General features: G+C 41.6%; 1 protein-coding gene across 24 annotated transcripts in view; it reads left to right on the top strand.

The window, feature by feature from the left end:
- The window catches only part of EXPH5 (exophilin 5), a 102,102-nt gene that overhangs the window by 53,199 nt on the left and 28,400 nt on the right, over positions 1-20,503 (top strand). For 8 of the 24 annotated variants that reach the window (XM_017017398.2, XM_017017397.2, NM_001441060.1 and 5 more), the window contains 2 exons: positions 12,526-12,686; positions 15,152-15,314. In XM_017017398.2, coding sequence (XP_016872887.2) covers positions 12,526-12,686; positions 15,152-15,314 — 324 coding nt within the window. Of the gene's footprint in view, positions 1-2,108; positions 2,319-10,764; positions 10,889-12,525; positions 12,687-15,151; positions 15,315-16,160; positions 16,376-20,503 lie in introns of those variants that run through there. The other 16 variants (NM_001441070.1, NM_001441075.1, NM_001441061.1 and 13 more) reach the window with 8 other exon arrangements.

Raw genomic sequence — 20,503 nt, 5'->3', positions numbered from 1 at the left:
CACATCTGTAATCCCAGCACTTTGGGAGGCTGAGGCGGGAGGATCACTTGAGGCCAGGAGTTCAAGACCAGCCTGGCCAACATGGCGAAACACCATCTCTACAAAAATTAGCTGGGCGTGGTGGCACATGCCTGTAATCCCAGCTACTCAGGAGGCTGAGGCAGGAGAATCACTTGAACCCAGGAGGCAGAGGTTGCAGTGAGCTGAGATCACACCACTGCACTCCAGCCTGTGCAACAGAGCAAGACCCTGTCACCAAAAAAAAAAAAAAAAAGGTCAGGGGCCACATTCATCCCAGGAAGTCTGATTTCAATTTAGCCTCTCAGTATTTTAATTTCTTCATTGGTAAAATAGGGATAATATTATCTACCTTCATAAGGGTTCTTGTGAAGATTAAATTAGTTAATACGTGTAACGTGCCTGGCCCAGGGCAAGCACTCTGTAACTGTTAGCTATGATTAGCTTTCCAGTATTATTCCTATGGAAAAATTACTTTTTACACACATGATTTTAATTTGTGTACAGGATCACATCTTGCACTTATGTCAAATAGCAACTGAACTGCTTCGCAATGATGGCAGAATAAGTTGGTAGAACTCATTTATTATCCCCTAGATTGAGCAAATATATGTTGATCGACCATGAGTCTGGGACTATGCTAGGCCCTGGGGATACCAAAACAAATGAGACACAGCACCTGTCCTCAAGGAGCTGACAGCCTGGTGACACAACCAAATAGGCACATGACAAGTTATTCAGTGTAATTTGGTAAATACAGAAGTTACAGTGGGTGATTTCCAAGCTGGCTCAGGTAAAAGGTATACATTCAAAAAGGGATCATGTAAACCTAGGAAAACAGAAGAGCTCTGATGAGCTACAAGAGGGACTGACACTTAAACCCTAAGTCTGACCTCAGGGTGGACAGCAAGTCTTTTCTACAGCACCTTCTTGAGGGTGACTATTGGTAAAGGGTGACTATTGGTGAGAGACCAAGGGCACTGTGATCTGAACCAGATGGTAATTACACATCCTTATTGTTACTTAGATAACTTACCTTTTCCTTCTGTTGTGAGTTTGTGTTTTGTAAAAGAAACATCCAGAAGGGTTACAATGGTCAATTTATTTTATTTTATTTTTTTTAGATAGAGTCTCACTCTGTCGCCCAAGCTGGAGTGCAGTGGCATGATCTCGGCTCACTGCAACCTCTGCCTCCCCAGTTCAAGCGATTCTCCTGCCTCAGCCTCCCCAGGTAGCTGGGATTACAGGCACCTGCCATTACACATGGCTAATTTTTTTGTATTTTTTGTAGAGACAGGCTTTCACCATGTTGGCCAGGCTGGTTTCAAACTCCTGTCCTCAAGTAATCCACCCACCTCGGTCTCCCAAAGTGCTAGGATTACAGGCATGAGCCACCGCACCCGGCCTTTTTTCTTCTTTTCTTTCACCCAGGCTGGATTGCAGTGGCAGGATCTCAGCTCACTGCAGCCTTGACCTCCTGAGCTCAGATTCTCCCACCTCAGTCTCTTGAATAGTTGGGATTACAGGCACACACTAGCAAGCCCAGCTAGTTTTGTTTGTTTGGGGTTTTTTGTAGAGACGGAGTCTCAGTACGTTGCTGGTCTCAAACTCCTGGGCTCAAGTAATCCTTCCACCTTGGCCTCCCAAAGGCTCTGGGATTACAGACATGAGCTACCATACAATGGTCAATTTTTTAAATACAGAAAATATTGCTTTTTATCGTAGAGTAGGCAGTCTCTATCACAGCCATTCACGGAGTTGAAGTGGGCTTTATTATCCAGCTTGGCTTAAAAGCTGGTGCCATTATTTTGTTGCCTCTCTTTGAGTCCTAAAGGGCTGTTGCTGTTACTGTTGTTGTTGCTTGCTTACTTTATAAAGTTTACCACTTTTCCTTATCTGAGCTTCCCTTCCTTCAGACTTCCGTGTATGATTTAACTTTACCCTTATGAAAAGAACACATTTTTCAATATACTTGCTTGCTTTTTCTAATCCTTGCCCCTCCCTGAGTCTTGGCCGTGGGCTGAACCAAAGAGCAGGCTCTGATGTCAGCGACAAAGGCTCTCAAATAACAATCTTTTCAGAAGATCAACAGGGAGAGAGACCAGGCCCCGGATGATAAAGCTACTGGTGCAGCCACTGAACCACAGGGCTTTCTCTTCCTTCACTCTGCCTCTTTCTGATTGGGAACACACAACAGTTGTTTTAAAGCTTTCCCTGGAGGGTGAGTGATAAGAAACCTATTACCTGGAAGTATCGCCTTTCTAAAGTAGGAGAACAAAAGGCCACACTTTCCCCAGATGGTGAGTCTCTTGGGGCTTCAGGGTTTGGAAAAGGCTCTTGCTTGGACATCCTGATCCGTCTTCCATTATGACACTGGCCCGACGTTTAAGCTCTGACTCGGGATACAGTTCCTGCCCCATCCTCTCCATTTGTGCTTTTCCTTGTGTTGTGGTTGCTGGGCAATATGACAAAATTATGTTTGGATTCCTGCGTGGGAGGAAAACTTTAATACTGCTTTGATCTGCAAATCAAAGGACAAAGTCACTTTCACAGGATTTGATGTAATTGGAAACTTCATTCTGGGGTTGGCTGATGGCTGAACTTGTAGGAGATCAAGGGACTATTTGGCAAGATGTCCTTAAGGAGTGGAGGGTTGACAGAGATTGGGGTGCTTAGCTGCCTGGAAGGAGAACGAGGTGTAACAAGACGGTCAGGTCCGCGAAGATCAGCTGTAAAAGAAAAAAAACAATGTGTATACAGAAGCAAGGGAGTAAGAAAAGTGAAGGAGAAATGTCAGAGATGTCAGAGAGGAGATAAACAGAGAAGTGAGAACATCAAAAAGAGGAATGGATGCCTTTGGCAAGAGGAGCTGATAAAGGGAACTATTCTGAGAAACATTTGAGATTTTTCTGACAAGAAAATGGAAGCTATTCCTGGCTTAGGGAATTGTTTGTTTTCAAACTTGCATAACTGCTCTCTCTTCAATCATATTTGAATTCTCATTACTGCCTGTTTAATTGGCAAAAGTCACTGTAAGTTTGTATCAATTGCATTGTTTCTTAGTGGGGTTAATAATACCCACAGACAATGAGATACACGGTTAGGAGAACATGGGTTTTAGACTCAGAGGCGTGTGGGTTCGCGTCTCAGTTCGGCAGCTCCAGCAGAACTTCCATGTCCTCTCTGTAAATGAGGACGATGCTGGAGCAGTGTTAGGGTGAGGATTGGCAATAAGAACTGCAAAATCCGGCAGATGGCAAGAGCTCAGTTCATATCATCGGTTATTATTTTTTATTGGTATGATTTCACCCGAAGACAGGGTGTTTGGCCAGATTATATCTGGAGACCTCTTTCGGCTTTATAAGATTTCCCAATGATTTGGATGTGATGTAGGAATGTTGAGGCTTTTCTGACCATAGATTTTAGACTGGAAGATGTCTTCAAGATAACCTCATCTGTATCCATGTTTTTTTCAATTTGTACATAACGAACCACCCCAAATTTTATTTTTATTTTTTATTTATTTATTTATTTATTTTTTGAGACGAAGTCTCACTCTGTTGCCCAGGCTGGAGTGCAGTGGCATAATCTTGGCTCACTGCAACCTCTGCCTCCCAGGTTCAAGCAATTCTCCTGCCTCAGCCTCCCGAGTAGCTGGGATTACAAGCATGCACCACCACGCCCAGCTAATTTTTATATTTTTAGTAGAGACAGCATTTCTCCATGTTAGCTAGGCTGGTCTCGAACTCCTGGCCTCAAATGATCCGTCTGCCTCGGTCTCCCAAAGTGATGGGATTTCAGATGTGAGCCACTGCTCCCAGTCTCACCCCAAAATTTAAAGGCTTAAAACTACTTCTGTTTATTAGCTTACCATTCCGTGGGCTAGCCATTTGGTCTGGGCTCAGCTGGGTGGGTTGCCGGGGATCACTCATTGGGCACCACTATGACAGCTTGGCTGGGTCTGGATGGTCTAAGATGCCTTCACCCACATGTTGGGTAGTTGGCAATGGCTCTCTGCCAGGCCTCTTTCTGTGTATGGTCTCATCCTCAAGGAGACTAACCCAAGCTTCCTTATACAGAAGTCTCAAGATCCCAAGAGGAAGAGAGCAGAAGCTATAAGATCCATTGAGGCCTGGACTCAGAAGTCTCAGTTTCACTTCCACCATATTCTATTGGTCTTAGCAAGTGCAAGTCTGGCCCAGATTCCAGGAGGAGGTGAAAGGAGGTGCCTCTTAACAGTAGTTGTCCTGGCTCAGTCTTACTTCAAAGGCCAGAACTATTTCTGTTTTGCTTCCTTGGTAATAGTAAACACAATGCCATCACTGACTACCCGAACCTTGAATTTTCCAGCTGTTGACTGTACCTGTTCATCCACTTTCCTTACAACCACTAGGAAAGAGGTAAAAGAGACCCCACCTCCTAAGAGTGGCAAAAAGTCACATTGCCAAGGAGTGTACCTCCAGGAATGATGGGAATTGTGGAGGAATTCTTTGCAAACAATCTACACATCATTTATTCCTCTTTGACAAGTGGGGAAAGAAAAACCAAGAAAGTTAAATATTTGGCCAAGATCACCCAGCTAGAACCTGACACTACTCCTGGGCTCTGTCTCCTACCTGATAGTAACTCAAGAATGGGCCAGGGAGGGTATCATTAACAAGGAGCAGATAAGTGGGGCCAAAGGATTACTTACACACAATGACCGGGAGATAAATGGACAGCTATCATTTACTGAGCACGTTCTAAATGGTTAGTACATAATTAATTTGTCCTGGAGAAAAGATGGGCACAAAGCCTTGCTCAGAATAAAGTCAAACAAAAGTGACAAGCAAAGGTCAGCAAGGACTAAGTTGGGAAAGACAAAGAAGAGGAGGGGGAGGTGGGTGTCATAACTCAAGGCTGGAAATAAAGGAAAAATAAGTTTAACTCAGGAATCGGAACATAAGAGGAGTGGTGTGTTCCAGAGGTGCTAGGATGAAATCCAAGGCAGCATTTCACAGACGGATTCATGTGAATGAAGAAAGGACATTTTGACTTGGAACAGAGGGCTGGGCCTCTGGCCTAGCAAGAAAAGACCTGATTTAGTTTAATCAAGTTGATCAGCCTCAGGGTAAAACAAATTAGAAGTGTAGACAACAGTCCCTTGTGATATGTTGAGTCAAGCTGGACTAATTAAGCAAGCAAGCTGTGTATTAGTAATTTCCCTGTATGTATGTCATTCTCAACCCTGAGGTTCTCATTGGCATAAAGTGGATGGTACATCCCAGTTGGTGCTGAACATATAACAAGCCCACATGGAAGAGGAAGAGCGTTGTGCAGGCTGGTTATGAAGTTGGTTGAATTCTGTTTACAAACAAATGTTATCTTTGTCAAACTGAGGCTAGTGGAAATAGAAAGTACTGTCCTCAAGTTTTGTCACCACACTTCCACTTTATGTTTAGAATTTTTTCTTACTTGCTAATGTTGAGTGTATTTGATAGTTTTTTTAAGTAAATGAATGAATCTAGACCACTGATTTTATAATTGTTTTGCTCCTTTTAGTACCAGAAGCTCAGTTAACCATTGTCAATGTACAAACTATACTTCATAGGGCTCTTGGGTGTGTAGGGTTAAGAAGATGAATTACACGTACCCAGAGAGTTTGAATTTAGACTTTTATGTCATCGTTTCCCTTCCTGGGTCACCCTTACATCAAAGGTCAAAACTATTTCTGTGTTGCTTCCTTGGTAATAGTAAACATAATGCCATTATCGACTACCTGAACCTTGAATATTCTGGCTGATGACTGTACCTGTTCATCACTTTCCTGACAGCCATCTCCAGAGTTATCCTTAAAATATTTCTGCTTTAAAAATATTTGAATTTCTTCAAAATCTTGCCCCCTTCATGTATCTGCATGACACTACTGTCTGAATTTCATTTCTCACTATCTTCAGGAAACAAATACTAACATAAACATATCCATGGATTATTTATGTTTTACTTCCAACAGCCTTAGCCAGAGTCAGGTTTGTACAGCTCAGCATTCAAAATTTAATCAAAATGAAAGTCAATCTCATCACAATAAGATAACAAAAAAAAGAAAAAAAAGTCAAAAACTTTCTTATTTAAAACACATAAGAAAAATGAGCTGGTTTTTAAATTAAACATTTCTTATTCCAGTAAAGAACTCTGAGACACTGATTTTTTTTTTTTTTTTTTTTTTTTTTTAAAGATGAAGTGTCACTCTGTCGCCCAGGCTGGAGTGCAGTGGTGCAATCTCGGCTCACTGCAACCTCCGCCTCCTGGGTTTAAGTGATTCTTCTGCCTCAGCCTCCTCAGTAGCTGGGATTACAGGCACCCGCCACCAAGCCCAGCTAATTTTGTATTTTTAGTAGAGATGGTGTTTCGCCATGTTGGCCAGGCTGGTCTTGAACTACTGACCTCAGGTGATCCACCTGCCTTGGCCTCCCAAAGTGCTGGGATTACAGGCATGAGCTACTGCGCCCAGCCAAGACACTGATTTAAAAATTGACGAAACGCTCAATTGCCAAGTCACAAAGTATAATTACTAAACAAACATAAGGGAAGGGTTCAAACCTTCCTCTTATCAAAGAAATGTAACATATTTTATTAAACAAAGAAAGATTCTTAAAAATAATTACTAACAATTATAAATAGTAACACCAAAATATTAGAAAAATAAAAATACTTGAAATAATAATACCTTGTCTTCCAAGGATGCCTAGTGGCAGACTTGTACATTGCTGGCATAAGTGATATTGGTACAGTTATTTTGGTAGTATGTATAAAGAATGACAAAAAGGGCTGTGCTCCGTGGTTCATGCCTGTAATCCCAGCACTTTGGGAGGCCAAGGTGGGAGGATCACTTGAGGCCAAGAGTGAGAGACCAGCCTGGGCAACAGAGTGAGACCTCTCTACTTTTGTAGAGATCTCCATCTCTACAAAAAATAAAAATATTAGCTGGGCATAGTAGCGTGCAACTGTAGTCCTAGCTACTCAGGAGGCTGAGGCAGGAGGATCATTTGAACCCAGGAGTTTGAGGCTGCAGTGAGCTATGATAGCACCACTGCACTCCAGCCTGGAAAACAGAGTGAGACCCTGTCTCTAGAAAAAATAAAATTTAACTTTAAAAAAAATCACAAAAATGTTTTGACTCTTTGACCCAATCATTCTACTTTAGTGTCTGGCAGAGGCACTGTAAAAATAGAAAATGCATGGCCAGGCGCAGTGGCTCACACCTATAATCCCAGCATTTTGGGAGGCCGAGGGAGGTGGATCACGAGGTCAGGAGTTCAAGACTAGCCTGGCCAATATGGTGAAACCCCGTCTCTACTAAAAATACAAAAATTAGCTGGGCGTGGTGGCACGTGCCTGTAGTCCCAGCTACTCAGGAGGCTGAGGCAGGAGAATCACTTGAACCTGGGAGACGGAGGTTGCAGTGAGCCGAGATTGTGCCACTGTACTCCAGCCTGGGTGACAGAAAAAAAAAAAAATAATAGAAAATGCACAATGATATTTATTACAGCAGTATTTATAAAGTATTTTTAAAGCAGTATTTATAAAGAAAAATCTCAATGTCCTGGATTAGGAGAGTAATAAATAAAGGAAGAAAAACATACTAGCTTGAATATTATGCAAATACTTAATGATTGCTCTGAAGATGAGTGATGTTAAAGGTGTTATTAAAGTTTTGGTAATGTTAAGTTTTTGCAGTGCTAACTTTTGGGTTTTTAAAGATTATGTATGCATGATATCTGTAAGTGGCACCTTCTAGGCACTTATGTAAATCAGAAGTCTTGGAATCTTCTTTGATGTGTCTCTACCCCTACTCCCCAAAACACATCACCTGGGGGTCACTTTTCACCTTAAGTCACCCTGAACACTTTCCACTTTTCTCCAGCTTCCCCACTACCATCCTGGTCCAGCAAACACCTCTTTCTTTAGACCCTACAAGTGTCCTGACTGGTCTCCTGCCCCGCACTGGAATCTACTCTCCACCTGCAGCTAGGATGATCTTCTAAAATGCAAATCCAACGGGTCTTATCCCTGCTGAGCCATCAATCATTGCTCCATGACCAAACACCAAATTGCAGAACCCTACGCCTAATGCTACGTTATCTAACAGTGGCCTCTCTGCTTGTCTTGGGCTTTCTCTCCATCTCCACACTCCAGCTACACAGGCCTTATTTCTGTTCCTTGCTTCTTCCCTTGGGGCACTTGTTGCTCTACAGAGGCTACCCCTCTGCCTGGAAAGCTCTCTCTCAGACCCTTCTGCCACGACCCTTTGGCCTCATCCTTCATCCTTCATTCTTCCAGCCCTATGTCATCTCAGAGAAATCTTCACTGGTGGTGCCTCAGCCCAGGTCCCCTTGTTATATGCTCTCTTAGCAGCTATTTACTGTTGTTTTTTTTTTTAGACAAAATCTCACTCTGTTGCCCAGGCTGGAGTGCAGTGGTATGATCCTAGGTCACTGTAGCCTCCAACTCCTGGGCTCAAGGGATCCTCCTGCCTCAGCCTCCTGAACAGTTGGGACTAAAGGAGCACACCACTACACCTGGCTAATTTTAAAATTTTTTGTAGAAGTGGGTTTTCGCTATGTTGGCCAGGCTGGTCTCTCACTCCTGGCCTCAATTGATCCTCCCACCTTGCTTCCCAAAGCACTGGGATTACAGACAAGAGCAACCACACTCAGCCTTATTTACTTTTTTATTGTTTCCCCCCCACACACACTCCCACCCCAGCAGAATTTAAATCCCATGAAGGCAGGGACTTGTTCACTGCTCTTTGCCCAGGGTTCAAATGTGTGCTGAGTGAATAAGTCATGTTTATCACTATTTGTTACCTTATATCAATATTGTTATTGGATTCATATCTGTCTCTCCCACTAGACTGTAATCTCTCTAGGGTGGGAGCCCTATCTGCTTTGCTTACCATTGTATGCCAGCATTTGCACCATAGGCGGCCTTCCACAAACGTATATTGAATATTACATATATACCTCAGCATCCCACGTAGCTAGGACCACAGGTGCAAGCAACCACGCCTGGCTAACTTTTAAATTTTTTGTAGAGACAGGGTCTCACCATGTTGCCCAGGTTGGTCTCAAATTCCTGGACTCAAGCAATCATCCTGCCTCGGCCTCCCGAAGTGCTGGGATTACTGGTGTGAGCCACCATGCCCAGCCTGGATATATTTTATCACAATTGTGTGAGAAATGCAGCAGAAAAATCACACTGAAAAAGTAATATTGGCTGTGTTCAGATTATGATAATATTACTGATTTCTGTCTCCAAAAAAAAAATAATGGAAAAGTGACAACACAAATAAAAATTCACAATCAAACAAAAAGAAGAGATAGCTCCATATATTGTACATAATAAAAAAGCTAAAATGAAATGAAAAATAATAAAATAAGCTAAAAATAGAAATGATACCTATAATTATTCTACTCTAAAACATCAGGTGTTTTCCATTTTTTGTGTGTGTGTGCCCAAAAGGGGGATCATTTTTACATAGCTATAATCATAGATAAATGTTGTATTTTCATTTTCCTGCTTCATGTTTTGTCATATGCATTTTCCCAGGATTCTATGTTGTCTACATAATTATTGTTAGCAACTACATGATGCTCAGTTAAATTAATGTTCTTGGGGTGGGGTTATTGCTGTAAGATAAATTTCCTGGAGTGGAATTCAAAGTGTTTGAGTACTTTCAGGGAAATACAGATTTCTGGCTTCATTGGCCAGAAGACAGAAAAGAAGCAGGCAGTGGTGGATATGTACACAACCGTGGAAGGAAAGCTTGAGGTACGATTAAGTGAACTGTGATTATTTTTAAAAGAGAGTCAGGGCTCGGCATTGTGGCTCACGCTTGTAATCTCAACAATTTGAGGGGCTGAAGTGGGAGGATCGCTTGAGGCCAGGAGTTTAAGGCAAGCCTGGGCAACAGAGTGAGATTCTGTCTTTACAAAAATTAGTCAGGGATGGTGGTCCCAGCTACTGGGGAGGCTGAGGCCAGAGGATCACTTGAGCCTAGGAGGTCAAGGCTTCAGTGAGCTATAACTGAACCAATGCACTCCAGTCTGGGCAACAGAGTGAGACGTTGTCTCTAGAAATAAATGCAGAAATAAATAAAAATTGTAAAAAGAGAGTTAATATTACATCAAGCCTGTACGGGGGAAAATGTTGTTTATATGGAACACTTCTAAGTCAAGTAGCTTGACTGTCTCCTGAAATGAGACCGATGTTTTCAGAAACAGAAAAGGGTGGTGCCTGCTTTTGGGGAACTGACAATTAGCGAGGGCTCCAAGGAAGTGGAGGTTGTGTACAAATGTGGGGCATTAGTAAGTGAGGCATTCATAAGTTAGAGGCAGCCAATATTGGTTAGAAGCAGATACTTAGGATCTCTGAGTCTGCTCTGTTAATAAATGAAGTAGCAACAAAGACAGGAGTACCACGCATCGGAGGGTGGAAATGGCAAAAAAGGAGGCACCAATGCAAATTCTGTAAGTTGAACATGTTGATTGCTGTCTAGTGCTTTGCAAAATGCAAGTCTGGGCAGGGTGACCTCTGGCTTCTTTCTCGAATATTTTATAAAATAGCAGTATCATAGCCCCAAGCAAGAGCCTGAGTTGCAGCCATCTCAGTTCATTGCCTTTTAACTCCAAATCTGCCACTTCACAGATATCTTGCTCATCACCCCCTTAGCAATACAAAGACCCTAACACTTGTGCTTTACGACAGACCCTGAACAAAGGATAACAGCTGCTGAGCCACACGGAATACTTTTCCAAGCTGCAGAATCTCCCAAGGTTGGAACCCAACAACATGCCTAACTTTTTCATCAGTATCTAAAAACAACCACACTGTAAGCCTTGTCATCATTCTTCAAACTCCACTTTCTGTTCATTTTGCCTCCATCCAGGAACATCTCCCTCTGGATTAGGCACCTCTCATTTCCAAACAGTTCTAGGGTCTTCCTTAAATAGAGCAAAATGATCTACTTTGAAAAAAGTATTAATAAATCACAACAACCAGTGATTTAATTAAGAACTTAAAGCAGCATTTTCATTTGAAAGAGAATTGGGCAGGAAAGGGGAGGAGAGAAGAAAAAAAAGTAATAGGATTTCAGGCCACATGTTCTGACATTATGGGGCAGACACATTTGTGCGCTGCATGGCTTTTCTGTCCGTCTCAAATTACCCCATCCCTTACTACCTTTGCATTAGACCTGGGCTCACTCATGGGCTTTTGTGTTTTTGTGTGTAAAGAAGTTCATTATCTAAGACCATTATATTCTGCAGGGTGCGGTGGCTGATGCCTGTAGTCCCAGCACTTTGGGAGGTCAAGGCAGGGGGATCACTAGAGGTCAGGAGTTCAAGACCAGCCTGGTCAACATGGCAAAACCCCGTCTCTACTAAAAATACAGAAACTAGCCAGGTGTGGTGGCGGGCTCCTGTAATCCCAGCTACTCAGGAGGCTGAGGCAGGAGAATCACTTGAACTCGGGAGGCGGAGGTTGCAGTGAGCCAAGATTACACCACTGCGCTCCAGCCTGGGTGACAGAGAGAGACTCTGTCTCAAAAAATAATGATAATATTAATAAGATTGTTACATTCAATAATTTCTTTTCTGCATGTTAGCTTTTATCTTTGACCACTGGATGGACAAGCAAGTATCCTATTTTTTACATTCACTGTTGAATCCATTGCCTACCTGGGCCCTCATAAACACTAAATTGATTAACATTGTTCAACAAACATTTAATGAATTAACAAGTGAATGAATGAGTAATCAGAACGAGAATATTCTAGTTTCTGCGTGTCATTAGAACATCTATCATTTAATTGCATTATTAGGTCAGGTTTTAGCACATTGCTTAATCCAGGTTGTCCTCATCAGCCTGATGATTATTTTAACTACTGGCAAAAACTTTTAGTTTGCCATCATATTTACAAGAATACTAAAAAAGAAAAAAAAAAAAGAATACACCTAAAATACATGCATAGTTGAAAGGGAAATTCTGATTAGAGCCATTTTTTTTCTAGACTTACAGATTATGCTGCTCCTCCATTAAGTCAAGTTTAGCCCATCACATGGATTGGCTTTAGATGTGAATGAATTTAAAGAGTGCATTGAGGCTGGGCCAGGTGGCTCACTCCTGTAATCCCAGCACTTTGGGAGGCTGAGGCATGCAGATCGCTTGAGCTCAGGAGTTCGAGACCAGCCTGGGCAACATGGTGAAACCCCATCTCTACTAAAAATAGAAAAAAATTAGCTGGGTGTGGTGGTATGCGTCTGTGGTCTCAGCTACTTGGGAAGCTGAGGTGGGAGGATCGCTTGAGCCCAGGAGGTGAAGGTTGCAGTGAGACGAGGTTGTGCCACTGCACTCCAGCCTGGTGACAGAATGAGACCCCCATATCAAAAAAAAAGTACATTGATTTAAGGATGAGCTTGATGTTAAGAAAATAAATAAAGACCACATTAATGTTTTATTTTATTTCAGCAAACTTCAGAAGACAAAGAGGGATATCAGATGGCTTCAGGGAGTGACTGGTGAATGGTTTGAAGAAATTCAAAGAAAAAAGTTTTGCAATGAAACAGATGTTAGCCAAATGTTAAAACAACCACTTACATACAGGCTAAGTAAGGAGATGGCAAAAAATGGTAAGAAAAAGATTTTAGATTTAAAGTTGATTTCTTTGTTTCTGTGGCATAGTATTGTAGATAATGGCCCAGTGGATCTCCAATGTAACCAATCCATGTTTAGAACTATTTTAAAGTCATAAGCCACAAAAGTTTATAATACAATATACACTAAAAAAAAAAAGTGAACTGAAATTTTACTGTAATAATGTCTTGGATTTTTTTTTGTTTTTTGGGTTTTTTTGAATCAGGCAAGATAGCATAGTGGGTAGGAATATAGACACTGATGTCAACAGAGGCCTGGATTCAAATCTCTACTCTGTCTCTATTCATGCGAGTCTGTCCAAGTCATTTATTCTCTGTAAACCTCAGTTGCTTCATCTTTAAATGAATGCAATGATACCTACACCTCATAAGGTGGTTACGAGAATTAAGTAAAATTATGTTTATAATGTATTAAGCTGGGCAGGGGGTCGGGGGTGGCTCACACTTGCAATCCCAGCACTTTGGGAGGCAGAGGCAGGAGGATCACTTAAGCTCAGGAGTTTGAGACGAGCCTGGGCAACATGGCGAAACCTCATCTCTACAGAAAAATAAAAGATTAGCTGGACATAGTGGTGCCCACCTGTAGCCCCAGCTACTCTGGAGGCTGAGGCAGGAGGATCATTTGAGCCTGGGAGGCAGAGGTTGCAGTGAGCTGAGATCATGCCACTGCACTCCAGCCTGGGCAACAGCGGTAAGACTGCACCTCAAATAAAAAAAAAATAATAGAATATTAAGCTGGAACAGGGTAAGCACTTAAATAAATGGGATGACTATGATGCAGGGGGAGGAAGAAAAAGGGGAGGGGTGGAGGAAGGGAGAATCAGAGATCAGAGGAGAAGGGAGGGAAGGTGGTGGAGGAGCTGCCACACTTCTGGAACTTTGGTAAACTCCATGAATGACTTCTAATAAATGCCTTCTATATAGATTAAAAGGATACTAAAACTTGCTTTCACAGGACTATTGAGAAGATAACCAAAGTGCACTAGAAACTATAAAATACTAAAATAAAATATCTTTTTACTGACGCGGAGTCACATTGACTGCATTTTTGCATGTTATTAACATTAGTAACATCATGAAACATGTAAAAATACTTCTAAACTTCTATGTTGATAATATCTTGCAACTCTCATAATAAACATATCTACGTAAAAAGACTCACAGTTCAGATTTTTTAGATCACCCCCATACATACCCTGATGACTTTTCCCTTGTCCTAAATTCCCCTAATATTTATAAAGTCAGCATGTCCCAAATCATTATAATATTATGGATTTTGTTTAATTTTATTTATTTATTTATTTTGAGATGGAGTCTCACTCTGTCACACAGGCTGCAGTGTAGTGGCATGATCTCAGGTCATTGCAACCTCTACCTCCCGGGTTCAAGCAATTCTCCTGCCTCAGCCTCCTGAGTAGCTGGGATTACAGGCGTGCGCCACCACACCTGGCTAATTTTTTTGTATTTTTAGTAGAGACGGGGTTTCTCCATGTTGGCCAGGCTGGTCTCGAACTCTTGATCTCAGGTGATGCACCGCCCACCTCAGCCTCCCAAAGTACTGGGATTACAGGCGTGAGCTACCGTGCCTGGCCAATATTATGGATTTTGTATATGTTGATGTTGCCTTTGAATTTTTGATACCCATATATTATCTATACATATATATTATACATAAACAGGTTGAATATCCGTTATCTGACATGTTTGGGACTATAAGTATTTCCAATTTCAGATCTTTTTAGATCCTGAAATATTTGCATTATATAAGCTGAAAAGTTGAGCATCCCAAATCCAAAAATCCCAAATCTGAAAGGCTTCAATGAGCATTTTCTTTAAGCATCATGTTGGTGCTCAAATTTTTTTGGATTTTGGGGAAATTTTTGATTTCAAGTTTTTCGGGTTTAGGATGCTCACCCTGTATATGTTACATGCAAACACATATGTAAACCATGTGTGTAGCAAATACATATCCACAGAGAGAGATTTTGGAAAGGAATGAAGAAAAATCTAAATGGCTTAATTTCCTTTTCCTTTACTTTCTTCAGTATAAGAAGTTATGTAGTATGTATCTATCACCATGGTTTTAAGGTACTGAAATAAAAACTTCTGAAGGACAGCATGGTTAAGGAACATGAGAATTGAATGGGGTCCCTGATTTCCTAGCTTGGGTGAGAGGAGGAACACTCTAGGAACTCTGATTCACAGTACACATGGAAAGATTCCCTACTAATTTGAGTTTTCTCTATGCAGCAGAACCATCAGAGGCGCAGGAGAGAGGTTGCTCTGACTGCCTTAATCCCTGAGGTCTTCATGTGAGGTTGCCTGCCCTGTTTCTAGTCTGCATAAGAGGGAGAAAGTGACACAAGAGCAAAGGCTTCATTCTTTCAAGTATATTTACTTGGAAGTAATTGATGCAAAATTTTTACAATTTTTTTTTCTAGATCCGATAGAATTACCTACATCAAGATCTAAAAATGTAACTAATCAAAAAAAGCCGACACCTTTTTCTTCCCGGATGAGCTTCAGATCGTCATTTGCTTCCCTGTTCTCATTCAGGAAATCTGGAAAGGAGACTTCAAAGCTTCCATCACTGGGACAGAAAGGGTGAGTTAAACTCAGGTCATGTTACGGCCCATTTGTTATCCGATATCAGAGGCCAGCAGCCTGTTTTGTGTTCAAAATGTTTAATGTTTGTTCTTAGAATTTCAATTCAATTGGTATTAAGAACAAAGGAAATGGGACTTAACTTGCATAGTGACAAAGTTCTTAGGAAACCATGAAATGTGGCTCACCTGAAATCCAACTTCTAACGAGCTGCAGAGTGCATTGGTGGTGCATTTGGTGAGTGATGGGTTAAATATTGGGAAATAATGATTGCCAGTTTTTCCACTGCTCCAAGAGTCTGGCCTATGTCCTGTCCAGGAAGATATATTTAAATAAAAACTACTCCTTCTTTGCAGAGTATGTGTCCTGGTCACGTCCTGGTCACGTCCTGGTCATAAGGAGAGTTGGGGTAACGACTAGATGAGAGAAAATGTGAGATGAACAAAGAGACTAGAGAAAAATAGAATTCTAAAACAGAGGGAGGAAATGTAATTACTGTTACTAGAAATACTGAAGGCTGTTCCCATGTGTTTGCTCAGAATGTATAAGGTGAGGGAGGAGAAGCTTTAGGAGCAGTGGAAACTTAGTTCCAGATGGTTCCCAGTTTAGAACTGTGCAAATCAGTTCACTTGACTCATTATGTTGTTGGATTACTTTGTGAAAAACAAGCAAGGCTATGCTTAAGTGCAATTGAGCTGACTGCTAAATATTTTCGGCATGTCTTCCTGGTTTCAAAGCTTCCCACCCTCTTAAGGTGTTGGCTTGGCACGTGATATGTTCCGCGTGCCGTCAAACCACACGGTGTATTGCAGCACTAAATAAAAGGTGTTGGAGGTCACTGTCGCTGAGAAACAAGAGGCAGCAAGCAGCTGGTGGGTTGTGTGATGAGGCTGCTGGATTTAACAGACCACTGTCCTCCCCTCTTGGGTGAATGGAGGGTTTTTCACTTCCAGCTTTCACCCGAGGCTGTTTTTGTCTGATGAAAGAAAGAGCAGACCACAATGTAGATTTATGTGACTGTAGCTACCAGAGTCACTAGCAAGGAAATACTCTTCAAATAGGTGAGTCGTTTTTCTCTGTAAAAATTTTTGAGACACTAGTGATTCTCACATTTGGGGGATTTAAAATTGAGAAGTGTTTCTTGCCCAGTAAATATTTATTTGAGGGAGAAAAAAATATTTCCACTGCGTGGTATAGCTAGGATTTGTGATATCATTTGTATCTTAGGTGATTTTCTTTAAGGCAGAATGTTGTATAGCTGAACCATCTAATATCAGTAAACTGGGAAAAGTTGAGGAAACTGTTAATTCTATGGGCAAGTTATTTCCAAGCTCATATTGCAAATTATTGCAAAGGTGGATCAAAGAAGATATAGATCTATAATCTTCATTCTGGGTATCATGTTTTTCGGTTATAGACCAAACTGGAAAAAATTAAAACTCTTGCAACATTCTGTTTAGCAAATGTCCTTCTTAGATATCAAAATACTTGCAGCTCTCTTTTAACAGGAAGAATTGAAACATAGACACAACATGCAGAAATAAAATAAATTTCATCATTTAAATATATTTATGTGTGTTTAGCAGTTTTCAGAACTTGTCATCTTCAAATACGTTTTACTTTCAAAACATAAATGGGAATATTTAACATTTATCTTGTTATTATTGATATTGATAAGTATTTATTAATTCTGCTGGTGCAGAATATAATTAAAGGCACTGGGTTTTGCTCCTAAGAGGTTTCAGAAGATGAAATATAAAAGCATGTCGTTTTTATTTTTAAATTTGAATGTGACCTAAATATTTGGATATGAATCCTATATGTGGGAAAAGAAGTGTTTATTAAAGGGGGCATTGTATTACGACAGGTGATATAAATCAGGTCATACATTCTGAAGGGCTCTATAATCTCAGGTAGAACCTAACTTTCTTTGGCAGTGTTGATCTGAAATAGAAAATCAATCTGCAAAATGGACTGTGATTCAGGACCTCCTCCTTACCTACGAGCACCCTGGGAGGGACTGACTAATGGCCCAGGGACACACAGTCATCCTCTGCAGGCAACAGTCAGGCTTCTACTTGCTGAAGCCGTCAAGGGCTTGACTGTCACACTCAGTGTTCTGGAAAACAAATCAGTAAAGCAATTTAGAGGATCTTTTGCAAATCAGAGAAAAAGAATCAATACAAGGCGAAAGAATTCTGATCAGCACTTTAAAACGTGCTTATCAGAAACTTTTCTTCTCTCTTTTAAGCTTTGGTTCTAACTGAGAAATGCACTGGATAATAGGTAACCCTCCCCAGAAGAACATGGACTTCATCATTTCACCAGATTCACTTGTTCCCTTTAAGGCCCAGCCAATAAAAGTATATGGTATCTTCAAGCTCTGATTTCCTAATATCAGAGATAAAAAGCCATGGGAACGCAGAGACTTGGTGAATTTGTAAAAATCCAAAAAGAAAGGCCAGTCATGACGGCTCACGCCTGTAATCCCGGCACTTTGGGAGGGCAAGGCAGAAGGATCACTTGAGCCCAGGAATTTTGAGACCAGCTTGAGCAACATGGTGAAACCCCATCTCTACCAAAAAGATAAATTATCTGGACATGGTGGTGCGAGCCTGTAGTCCCAGCAACTTGGGAGGGTGAGGTAGGAGGATCACTTGAGCCTGGGAGGTGGAGGGTACGGTGAGCCGCTGCACTCCAGCCTGGGTGACAGAGTGAAACCCTGTTTCAAAAAAAAAAAAAAGGCAAAAAGATTTACCACTTCTGCCTCAAATATGATTTGCTCCTCTTCTCAAACATATACACTTCCCAAACTGTCCCGTTATGATTTTAATCCTATTTGTAAATGATTGGCTCCATTCCAACCACAGGAAAAAAGAAAAATATTTTCCATTCATGTTTTAATGTATACATTCCTAGCCAATAAATCCAAGAAAAGTATACATATGTACATGTAGCTTTCCCTCAACATCTTCCTGCAAGTCATGTTTGCACGGATCTTGTTCTAGGGTATCTAGTGCATGTAACATGTGCTCAGCCCCTAACATAGAATTTCAGTAACTTCGTAATCTCACAAATGCCTTCCACAGGGCATCCAATGGTGTACGTCATCAGCTTATACATGCAGTCTTCTCAGCTGCCAAGCAGAATCTATAGTTGTTCCTTTCTTGTTCCAGACCCCCAGTTATTCCAGTGATGCCCTCCCTACTATGAATAAGTGATATGCGTTGCCCTTCAGATGCAAAGAGCCTTGGTGGATCCACCTAGCTACTCTCAGGCATGTCCAAATTTGCCTGACCCATAGGTCGTACACGGCTCAGACAGTCCAGCTGCAACCTCTAGATTACATAAGTAAAAAGGTCAAATTCTATTTTGGAAAATTAAAAGGGCAGATCACTTTTTTTTTCCTGTTCTCTCTGTCTCTTGATCTCTCTCTGTTACCCGCCTTCTCTCCACCTGCCTCCCTCCTCCTTCCAAATGCCCCACTGTGTACTCTTGCTCGTTGCTAGTTGAGTGCCTATGTCTGAGTTGGAAGACATGGGAATCTAAGACACCTAGATTGCAGGAGAAGTCAGAGAAAGCAAGCTCCTTCTTTGGAAATGCTCCTTCTGTGATTCCAGGCATGGTGTCCACAGATAAAAGGCAGCATTGTGGTGGCAAGAGGGAGAAACAAGACGAGGGGAGTGGTTTTAAGTTTTATCCTGGGTGGCTTATGGTTCCCAGCTGGTCTGACCGATCATTATTAGAATCTCATCAACAATTGTTAAATGAAGACACATAATCAGGCTCCAACCTGGTGCTTTTGAAGTAAGGCACAGGGAGCTTTACTTATTTATTTTTAATTCTCCAGAATATTTGGGTGCTCATTCAAATTTCGGAACTGCTGCAGCTTAGCTTCCTCCCACTCTGGTAAGGGCTGTCAGAATTTTTGGCATGGGGGATAAAAGCCAGGTGATAGCTTTCCTTTCATTTATTTATCAAGCTTCTGTCCCACTCTGGATCAGACCCTATGTTAAGTGCTGGAAACAAAACAGTGAAATGAAAGCAAAGTCCCTGCCTGGAGGATTTTATATTCTGGTAGGGAACACCATATTGCTGCATAGGTCAGGCAGGCAGCACGCCACAGAACTTTAGGATGTGCCACCTGCATCATGACCATCATGGATTTGTACACATCTTATGGCAATTTCCAGCAAATGACAAGAAGGGGTCTTGAGAAAGGAGTGCCCTTTAGAATTCACACAGGGATGCCATGTGGCCTAGCTGCATAGGTAACAGCTGGGTACAGTGACAATTACAGTAGAAGGTGGTGAGTACTATGGTGACACATGATGTTCCTGCCAGGAAAACATGTAGAACCACTTAACTCAGACTAGAGGATCAAGATCCCTTCCTGGAAGAAGAGAGCTAATTTTTGAAAAACAAATAAGACTAAGCCAGGCAATTAAGAATCCAGACGCTGCACTCAGCAAAAGAAATGACATAAACCAAGGTGCAGAGAGTGGAGAAGGCAGGAATTCATCTAGGTCACTGAGGTTCAATGACCCAGTACAAGGTGAGGGCTGTTAAGGGATGGGGCAGGAGAGGTTGGCAGAGGCCACAACACACGGGCCTTATATGAGCAATGCCATACTAAGGAGCTTGGACTCATTCCTGTAGACAGTGGGGAACCATTAATACTTTTAAAATAATACCACTCTTCTCCTTGTTTTATACACATGACAGATAAAATCACCCAAAGCCAGTTCATCTGGACAAACACTACCCTTTGGCATATTTCCATGTGTGTACATGCATCCATTGATGATTTTTAAACAGAGAAGTGACATAATTGGGTCTTCATTTTAGAGAGATTACTGTACCTCAATGGTTTTCAACCAACGGTGATTTTGTTACCCAAAGGACATTTGGCAACATTTGAAAACATTTTTGGGTCAGATGTGGTGGCCGCCTGTAATCTCAACACTTTGGGAGGCTGAGGCGGGAGACTCACTTGAGGCCAAGAGTTTGAAATTAGCCTGGTCAACATAGTCAGGCTGCACCTCTACAAAACATTAAAAAATTAGCCAGGCATGGTGGTACACACTTGTAGTACTAGCTACTTAGGAGGCTGAGGCAGGAGGATTGCTTAAGCCCAGAAGGTCAAGCTTCAGTGAGCTGTGATTGTGCCACTGCACTCCAGCCTGGGC

The sequence above is a fragment of the Homo sapiens genome, chromosome 11, assembly GCF_000001405.40.
Source record: "Homo sapiens chromosome 11, GRCh38.p14 Primary Assembly".
Lineage (NCBI taxonomy): Eukaryota > Metazoa > Chordata > Mammalia > Primates > Hominidae > Homo > Homo sapiens.
The sequence above is the reverse complement of the archived record's forward strand: the minus strand, read 5'-3'. Positions and strand labels throughout refer to the sequence as shown.